This window comes from Homo sapiens, chromosome 5, assembly GCF_000001405.40.
Source record: "Homo sapiens chromosome 5, GRCh38.p14 Primary Assembly".
Taxonomy (NCBI): domain Eukaryota; kingdom Metazoa; phylum Chordata; class Mammalia; order Primates; family Hominidae; genus Homo; species Homo sapiens.
Window position 1 is genome coordinate 7,299,327 of NC_000005.10, and position 10,016 is coordinate 7,309,342.

At 48.5% G+C, this 10,016-nt stretch overlaps 1 pseudogene across 1 annotated transcript; it reads right to left on the reverse strand.

Moving 5' to 3' along the window:
* Positions 1–2,003: 2,003 nt before the first annotated feature.
* On the reverse strand, positions 2,004–7,388 carry LOC442132 (golgin A6 family-like 1 pseudogene; annotated as a pseudogene). The gene is made up of 8 exons (NR_033906.2): positions 7,183–7,388; positions 5,748–5,877; positions 4,906–4,935; positions 4,586–4,636; positions 4,404–4,497; positions 4,215–4,321; positions 2,427–2,956; positions 2,004–2,133 (listed from the first exon to the last, which is right to left on the reverse strand). The product of NR_033906.2 is annotated as a golgin A6 family-like 1 pseudogene (transcript).
* Between the last annotated feature and the right edge of the window lie 2,628 nt (positions 7,389–10,016).

Genomic DNA, 10,016 nt, shown 5'->3' on the forward strand with positions numbered 1-10,016 from the left:
TGCTTGAACGCCAATTCTGTGCCATAAAGTCAAAGTCAGTACTCTCTGGAGGCAGATAAAACTTTACTAGGCATGCCATAAGACAAGACAAGACGAAAGGAGAAAACAAACAAAAAAAACAATAGAAACATACATAGATATTAGAGTCCTCAGGTAGAAATTTTTTTTTTTTTTTTTTTGAAATGGGAGTTTCACTCTGTCACCCAGACTGGAGTGCAGTGGTGTGATCTCAGCTCACTGCAACCTCAGCCTCCCACGTACCTAGGATTGGTGATCCACCCGCCTAGGCCTCCCAAAGTGGTGTGATTACAGGTGCAGGCCGCCATGCCCGGCCAGTATTTTGCCACAATTTAAAATAAATTTTCTTTTTTTCAAGTTTGTTCTCAGACTGTATTCACAAGGTCACGTGGCGGCTTACACTTCTGTAGGCCTTGTTGACCGTTCTTTTTAGATATTGATGATCTTGATCTTTTTCTTGTCTCCTCGGTAGAAGAATAGGATGCAGGAGGTGCTGCCTAAGCCTGGGTGCTCCTGGGTGTTCTTCATTCCAGGGGGCAGCTGCGTGATCTGCTGTGCAGTGCGGTTGTCATGGGAATAGCCCTTCCCAGCCTCTCGTGCAGGCTTCAGGCTGCCAGCATGGCTCATATCACAAGGATATTTGGAGGGAGGGAGGCAGGGCTCTGAGCACCGCTCCTCCTGCATCTTCTCCTCCTGCTCTCCCATCCTCTCCTTCTTCTCCCGCATCTTCTCCACCTGCCCCCGGACCTTCTCCTCCTCCTCCTGCATCTTCTCATACTCAACCCACAGCCTCTCCTCCTTGAATCACAGCCTCTCGACCTGCTTCCGCATCTGCTCCTCCTGCTCCCCCATCTGCTCCTCCCGCTTCCGCACCTGCTCCTCCCGCTTCCGCACCTGCTCCTCCCGCTTCCGCATCTGCTCTTTCTGTTTCCGCATCTGCTCCTCCTGCTCCCCCATCTGCTTCTCCTGCTTCCGCATCTGCTCCTCCTGCTTCCGCATGTGCTCCTCCTGCTTCCGCATCTGCTCCTCCTGCTTCCGCATCTGCTCTTCCTGCTTCCGCACCTGCTCCTCCTGCTTTCGCACCTGCTCCTCCTGCTTCTGCATCTGTTCCTCCTGCTCCGCCATTTGCTCCTCCTGCTTCCGCATCTGCTCCTCCTGCTTCCGCATCTGCTCCTCCTGCTTCCGCATCTGCTCCTCCTGCTTCCGCATCTGCTCCTCCTGCTCCCCCATCTGCTCCTCCTGCTTCCCCATCTGCTTCTTCTGCTTCAGCATCTGCTTCTCCTGCTTCCGCATCTGCTCCTCCTGCTCCCCCGTCTGCTCCTCCTGCTTCCGCACCTGCTCCTCCTGCTTCCGCACCTGCTCCTCCTGCTTCCGCACCTGCTCCTCCTGCTTCCGCACCTGCTCCTCCTGCTTCCGCACCTGCTCCTCCTGCTTCCGCACCTGCTCCTCCTGCTTCCGCACCTGCTCCTCCTGCTTCCGCACCTGCTCCTCCTGCTTCCGCACCTGCTCCTCCTGCTTCCGCACCTGCTCCTCCTGCTTCCGCACCTGCTCCTCCTGCTTCCGCACCTGCTCCTCCTGCTTCCGCACCTGCTCCTCCTGCTTCCGCACCTGCTCCTCCTGCTTCCGCACCTGCTCCTCCTGCTTCCGCACCTGCTCCTCCTGCTCCCGCATCTGCTCCTCCTGCTTCCCCATCTGCTCCTCCTGCTTCCGCATCTGCTCCTCCCGCTCCCCCATCTGCTCCTCCCGCTCCCCCATCTGCTCCTCCCGCTTCCGCATCTGCTCCTCCCGCTTCCGCATCTGCTCCTCCCGCTTCCGCATCTGCTCCTCCCGCTCCCCCATCTGCTCCTCCCGCTCCCGCATCTGCTCCTCCCGCTCCCGCATCTGCTCCTCCCGCTCCCGCATCTGCTGCTCCCGCTCCCGCATCTGCTGCTCCCGCTTTCGCATCTGCTGCTCCCGCTTTCGCATCCGCTACTCCTGCTCCCGCAGCTCCTTCTCCTGGTCCCGCAGCCTCTGCTCCTGTCTCCACATCTTCTCCTCGTGCTTCCGTAGCTTCTCCTGATCCCGTAGCTCCTCCTGCTGCCTCCACATCTTCTCCTGCAAAGTGTTGGTTTGAACCTTAAAAGGAAATAGAGTCATAAGCTAGGTATATAAATGTAATCTATAAAATAACGGTTTTCGTCTATGATTCTTTAAAAAGAAATTTTAAGCCCTAACCCTGAGGTTCTGATTTCCCAGGCATGGTCCCAATTTGTAGATTTTTAGCACACTCTATAGGATTCTATGGTGGGACCAGAACAAGGACCCAAATTTTCCAGCTCCTGGCTGGAGCCTCCCCATACCCTGCATGATCCCTAGACCATGTCCCAGCCGGATGCGGCTCCCACACCCCCGGGGCTGCAGCCGCTCACCTGTGGCAGCGGGATTTTGTCCGTCTCCAGTTTCCTTTTTAGCTCCTTGATGTGGAGCTGGATCTCAGACTTTTCAGTTTCTACCAGTCGAAGTTTTTCTTGTAGTTCGGCATTTTTCTCCTTCAGCTCCTCATTGGTTATGCTATGGCCAGAGGCAGTAGAGAAAGGAATGAGCAAAGAACAGAAAGGACCGCTTTGGTGATCGACCCTCTACCCTCGCCCCACAACCACAGAACCGTGGCATTGGAAGAGACCCCAGGAATTAAAAGTCCCAGGTGGCAGGCCAGAGAGAAGACGTGAGTTGCCTGAGGCTACCCCATGAGTCAGTGGCACAGCCATCACTGGAGCTTCCCTGCGCACACATGTAAACCTGTATGACCCCCTAGCATGCTCACCTGTACCCACCACCTCCCAGCACACCACCCATGCTAAGGGCTCTCAGACCTCCCATCCCCCGCTCCCCCATCCTACATGTTCCTGTGCAGCTCCAGACTCAGGGCTTCCCTCTCCTTTGTTAACTCCTCGATGTACTGCAAATAGAGAAAGGTCAAGTCAGGATACAGCAGGCAGAGGAGCAGCTGGACGACCAGTAACGACAGCTACACTGATGCTCCACAGTAACACTTGCTCCTCTCCATCACACCCGACATGTTCTCAAGGCATTTCCAAACCCATGGTGTCATTTGTTTTTCTTTTCTTTTTTTTTTTTTTTTTTGAGATGGAGTTTTGCTCTTGTTGCCCAGGCTGGAGTGCAATGGCGCGATCTCACCCCACCGCAACCTCCGCCTCCCGGCTTCAAGCGATTCTTCTGCTTCAGCCTCCTAAGTAGCTGGGATTACAGGCATGTGCCACTGCACCTGGCTCTCACTTGTTTTTCAGAGAACTCAGTAAGGGTGGAAGGGACAGGGAAAGAGACTGAATTGATAGCTGGCTAACAGGGGCCCAGAGCGATCAGATAATTTTGCTATTGCTATTACTGTTATTATTACCACTGTTGGAACCTTTCTTGAGTGCTTCACCAGGCACTAAGCTAACAATCCCATTTAATCCTCACAACCACCATAGGAGATAGTTATCATTATCACCTCTATTGTGTAGATGAAAAACATGGGGTATTAAAGGTTAAGTGCTTGCCTAAGATAACTTAGAGCTGGGATTTCAACACCCAGGTATATCTGATTCTCTAAACCCATTCTTTTGGTTGGGGGTAGGGGCACAGATAAGGAGGAGGAAATTAATCCTTTGTTGATTTTTGAAAGAATGATACATTGGCATAGTCCAAACCTCAGAAGGTACAGAAGGGAAATATCTTCCCCCAACACTGTTCCTCTCTCCTGAGTTTTTTATGAATCCTTACAAACATGTTTTATGTATATTACCATAATACGTATGTACACACACACACACACACACACACACACACACGTACATGTGTTCCCTCTCTCTACACAAATGGTAACATACTAAAGATACTCTTCTGTACCTTCATGGTACAAGTACCCTAAACTCTGCCTAGGATTTGACCAAGGCCACAGCCAAGTATGGGTGGGGTGGGCACTTGGCCTCCGAGCTCTGTGTCCAGTGCTCGCTCCCCACAGCGCCCTGCAACTCACCCACAGCAGCTGACTCAGCCCCAACCTGCCTCTAACAACCACGCACAAAAGCAGCAAGAAATGGCCCATGCTGTCTTCTGGGCAGGACACTGCATCCTGCAGAAGGGACCTTTAGGCTCATTCCTCCATCTGCGAAGCTGGGCTCCCAGGGGACCGGGTAGGTGGTTGGACTCACCCTGTCCACCCTCTTGTGCTCTGCGGACATAGCAGAGAGAGCCCGCTGTAACTCTCCTGCAAAGTACCAGGAATGATGCAGGCGGCCTGCCAGATCCTTGGAATCTTCTGGAATGAGAGAGGTTGAGCTGCAGCCCAAAGGCCTGTGAAAGTGCCAGGTTGAAGGATGACGGGGTGCCCAGATTCCCACCTTCAAATTTCCTGGCAGCATCCTGGCTGTCATGGAGCACTGTTTCCAGTTCAGTTTTCTGACACTTAAGGATTCGTATGGTATGATCCTGGGCCTTTGGGAGACAAGAAAAGCAAGTGCTGAAAGAGAAGCAAAGAAACCTTCTCCAGAGGACAGGAGGGAACTTCACACCCTCCACTCACCTCTAGCTGCCTCCTTAGGGCTTGCTGATGTTGGTGGCTTGCCTTCTTTTCCTATAGAAAAGAAGAGGAAGACAGAGCTCTTACTAGAGGGAGGCAGAGATGGCACAGCAAGAGACATGCCCCCAGAATGGCACCACTGTCCCAGGACAGGCCCACCCATGGGACCAGGTTATCAGGGACCCTGTGGGGATGGGGTGGAATCTGGGAGGTGAGCCTTCCTCCCCAGGCTGGGAGTAGGTGAGACGAGACTGGGGCCTCTACATCTGAGTGCCCCCCAAACCCAGCGGTCATGTCGTGAGCAAAGAAAGAAATCATGTTACCTCTTTCAGCTGAGCTCGGTTCTGTTGTTTCTGTGGGGAGAGTCAAAGGAAGGTGACTGAGGGTGGCCCCTCGACTCTATTCCCCAGGCCAGGAAGCAGTAGGCAGGGGTCAGGAATGGATTTTAAGGGCAAAGTTCTTAGACCCAATGGGAACACGAACTGGTCAACTTTCCTTAATGCCCAAAGAAAAAGGATCTGGGTCTTTGTTGGTTTTTGCCCACAGCCACAGAACTGAAAGTCTGAAAGTAGATTCTCTGGAAAAGACAGTAACATAAACCTTCCGACATAAGAGTGTGAGAAAAGCCCACCCTTCTGCTAGCTTGTGATGTAGAAAGATGTGTTCATTCAACAAGCATTGAGCAAGCACATAGGGGCTGGGGACGGTTCTTCACTGCTGGGATATAGGACGGAAAAGGCAGACAGGAGCCCTTGGCCCCAAGGTTTCCATTCTAGTGAATCTTTAAATCTCAGACTCTCAGAGCAAACAGAAACCTCTGATACTCTAACTCTACCTCCTCAGGAAACGGAAGCCCAAAGAGGAGGGGAGTTTACAGCAGGCTCTGGACTAGGGATTAACACAAAAACAACAACAACAAATCTGATTTAAGCTTCACACATGTAAGTAAAACATTACCACCCCTATTTTACAGATGTGAAAAGAGAGGTCCAAAGAACTCGAGCAATTTTCCCTAAACCGTGTCCCTCGCAGATGGAGAGAGAGGTAGGATTCAGACCCAGAATTCTTAACCAGTACCCGGCAGTTCTTCCTTCCACAATCTTAAGTTACCCTCGACCTCCCCTTGTGCCCCTTGTCCTCAGGAGACTGGCCCCCCAAGACTCACATCCTCAGGTGAATGGCAACCCCCCAGAAGTGGTTGTCTGAGGGTTAGTGCCATTATTTATTTTCTTCTTTTTGGTGTCGGTTGCTCCAGTACCAACACCAGCACTGTTCCACTGATGATAGTCTGTGAACTGTGGAAAAGAGGAGCAGTGATACTCATGAGAACTACAAGCTCCTACAGTCACTTTACAGTTTATACAAAATACTCTCATAGACGATCTGATTTAATGCCACCAACGACTGTATGAGGTGTTGTCGCAATCACTTAGTGACTGAGAGGGATTGATACCATGGCTAAAAGAAAGGCAATAATGGAACTGAAACTCAGTCTTCTGACTCTGAGCTCTGGGGTGTTGCCACAAATCAGCAGCTGCCAGAGACCAAAACCAGAGGCAGAGGTAGAAAAGTAAGAAGTAGGCAGGAAGGTGTACACTGTGTGGTTTACAGTCGTACATCCTCTTAGAGTCATGTATCCTCAGGGCAGAAGGCAGCCTTTCTGTTAAATGTGGGAATTAAACAGAAAGAGGACAACCCAAGCTGCATTTCAGAGAGAAGTCTTGTATACTCTTAGAAATCTATGTGACTATCATCCCTAAGAACATTAATGTTTTGTCTCTCCCACGAGAATCAAGGAAAACTGATGCTTCAGAAAGATGCCCCATATGTATCCTGTGGCACTCAAAGTACCCCAGGTTGAGATGAGATGAGGAAGATTCAAGTTGTCAAGTCCAGTTTCCCAAGATCTCTTGCACAGAAGATGAGCAAATCTCACTTCAAAGATCACTGAGTGATGGGCACTCTGGTCCCAGAACCATGGAGAATTCAAATATGAGGTGAAGAACTTAGAAAAAACTGTTAAAGTCTCTCTGGAGAGTAGAAGCCTGGGAGAAAACCAAACCAAACCCATTATCCCATCAGTGCTGTGCCCAAGTTGCCTCTTTGAGATTGGCGTGGGGTCACAGGGTTGGGCCCCAGGTACTTGGAGACGTGAGCCCAAAGAGCCCAGGGAAGTCAGGCTTGGGGCAGCAGTAGGTGAGGGCCGAGTATGGAGTGGGGAGCCCCAGGAGTCACCTGCCCAAAGTCACCCTGGGGTGACTGGTGAGGGCAGGTGCTGGGGCATCCAGTTCCTTGGGAACGTGAGCCCGAAGGGCCCAGGGAGATCCGTTTTTGGACAATAGGAGGTGAGGGCAGAGTACAAAGCAGGGAGCCCCACGAGTCACCGGCTGAAAGTCACCCTGGGGTGACCGGTGAGGGCAGGGGCAGGACTGCTGAGGGATTGGGGCTGACAAAAGATTTTGGTTGGGGGAGCCCAGAGGCACTGGGGGGGCCCAGCCCCGTGTGCCTCTGGAGTGACATGGATTCTGGCAGCTGTTCTGCCATCAGAGGGGACCTGGGGCTGGGTTGGGGTTGGGGTGCTGCAATCCGATGCATTTTACCTTTCTCTTGGTCCCAGCCAATTTTCTTTGTTGGGTTTTTTCGGACATCATGGGGTGGGGAGGGAGGTGGGGTTGGGGTCACATTGGCGTGATCCAGGCGAGGACAGTGATATGCCTCCAGTCATGTACCACACAGCTATGTGACTGAGCCACAGGAGGCGTCACCAGGGCTGCACTAGAATGCGGAAAAGGGGCGTGGCCTTAATGCTCCAAGCCCATTGGTCAATGAGAAAGATGAAAGGGAAAGGAGGCGGGGCCAGGCAGCTGTGTGTCATGAAGGTCCTGTGATGTCACAAGGAAAGCCGCCCATGCAACTGCTGTCCCCGCCCACTCTGGGAGAGGGGCGGGGCTGGCTTTCACTTTCTAAACTTTAAAACTTTATCACCTTAATTGAGGTACAAATCCTGTTGTAATGGAAAATTTACAGTGTGCGTAATGATTAGTAAAGCAGATTATATTATCCAACATTCCAATAAGATAAAATAATCACAGTGATTTCTCTTTTTTGGAAAAAGTTTCTCTTATTCTCCTACATGATTGTTAAGTTTTTTTTTTTTTAAACTAGAGACATGTCTAATATATTTAAAAACACAAAGCTTTTGAGGTGGGTGTGGTGGCTCATGCCTGTAATCCCAGCACATTGGTAGGCTGAGATGGGCATATCACCTGAGATCAGGAGTCAAGACCAAAATTTTAGTATTTTAGTGTGTAATTTAGTATTTATTTTAGTATTTAATACATCATTTAGGGCTACATGTAGCCACAGAAAGAATAAATCTGATTCAGTGACTTAAAGAAATATAGATTTCATTTTTGTCACTTAAAATGTGCAGAGGAAGGCAGTCCAGGGTTCTTTTCAGTTTCCTGATACTTCCTTAGCCTGGTTTCTATTCTTGTGGTTACAATGTGGCTGCTGTTTTTCCAGGCCTTGGATTGCCTTCCAAGGAGGGAAAGAAGAAAGGTCAAAAGGCTGAGTTTGTCTCTTTTTAGCTGAAAAACATAGATTTCTCAAAAGTTGTAAGATTATACTGCAATTCAATTTTCATCCTTTTTTTTTTTTTTTTTTTTTTTGAAACGCAGTCTTGCTCTGTTGCCAGGCTGGAGTGCAGTGGCACAATCTCGGCTCACTGTCACAATGTCCGCCTCCATGGTTCAAGCGATTCTCCTGCCTCAGCCTCCCTAATAGCTAGGAATACAGGCGCATGACACCACGCCTGACTCATTTCTTTTTGTATTTTTAGTAGAGACGAGATTTCACCATGTTGGCCAGGCTGGTTTTGAACTCCAGACCTTGTGATCCGCCCGCCTCTGCCTCCCAAAGTGCTGGGATTAGAGGCATGAGCCACCGCGCCTGGCCTGCAATTTTCATCTTTTGGCTGCAAATAAGTTATGTCACTATTCTCAGCTGGGGGAGTGTTTAACTCACATGTTGCTTCCTCTCTGTTAGACAGGTTTTAAGATTTATGAATAGGTACTGAATTGTATCAATTGCTTTTTTCTTTCTTGATTGAGCAGTGTTTTTTCTTATCTTTTTATGTTGATAAGGTAACTTAACAGTGATTGGCTTTTGAATGTTGAACATTGCATTTCTGGAATTAAATCACCTTTGTTGTGATAAATGATTAATACCATATTATATATGGTTGAGATGGGCTTGCTCCTAGTTCATTTGGTAGTTTTGTACTTACGTTCACAAGAGAAAGTGGAGTCTAAGTTTTTCTGTTTTTTTTTTTTTTTTTCCGCGGAGTCTCGCCCTGTTGTCTAGGCTGGAATGCAGTGGCATGATCTCGGCTCATTGCAAGCTCCGCCTTCCGGGTTCACGCCATTCTCCTGCTTCAGCCTCCCGAGTAGCTGGGACTACAGGCGCCCACCACCACCCCTGGCTAATTTATTGTATTTTTTTAGTAGAGACGGGGTTTCACCATGTTAGCCAGGATGGTCTCGATCTCCTGACCTCGTGATCCACCCGCTTCGGCCTCCCAAAGTGCTGGGATTACAGGCGTGAGCCACTGCGCCCAGACTTGTGAGGTTTTAATATGAAGTATTAAAGCTATGCTGGTTAGACAATTTGAGAAATGTTTCTTCTATTTCTGACAGAATTTATGTAAGATGTGTGCTATTTCTTCCTTAAGCATTTGGAAAGAATTCACTTATTAAGCCATGTGAGACTGTAGTTTTCTTAATAAGGTGTTTAATTACAGGTTCAATTACATATATATGAATATTCATTTTGGTAACCTGTGTTTGCTGAATCAATTTGTTCATTTTATCTAAAATTTCAAAGTTGTTCTATTATTCATTTATCTTTTTAATACTTATAAGGTCTGCGGTTAGAGTTTGTGCCTTTTGTCTGTTTTGTTAATCAATCTTGCTGGGGGCCATCAATTTTATCAGTGTTTCAAAAAAGCAAACTTTGATTTTATTCATCCCTTTACCATACTGAAAATGTTTTGCTTAATTTCCAAACTTATACTTCCACTGTGATTAAATATTTGTATAACTAAAACTCTTTGGAATTTGTGTCTTCTCAATGATCAAAAATATGATTAATTTTTATAAATATTGCTTCTGCACTTGAAAAGGATGTGTATTCTGCATGTTGAGCGTAGTGTATCACGTATCTCAATTAGATGGAGCGTGTTAAATGCATCCTTTAAAGATTCCATTTCCTTACTGATGTTTGTCTGTTTATTTTTCAGTGGCTGAGACACAGATATTAAAGTTTCCCACAATGATCGTCAACTTATTTCTTTTTTTCGTTTGTTAAGCTTTGTTCTGTGTGTTTTAAGGTTAAGTTACCAGGCATAAACACATTTAGAATTCCTTTTTCTCCC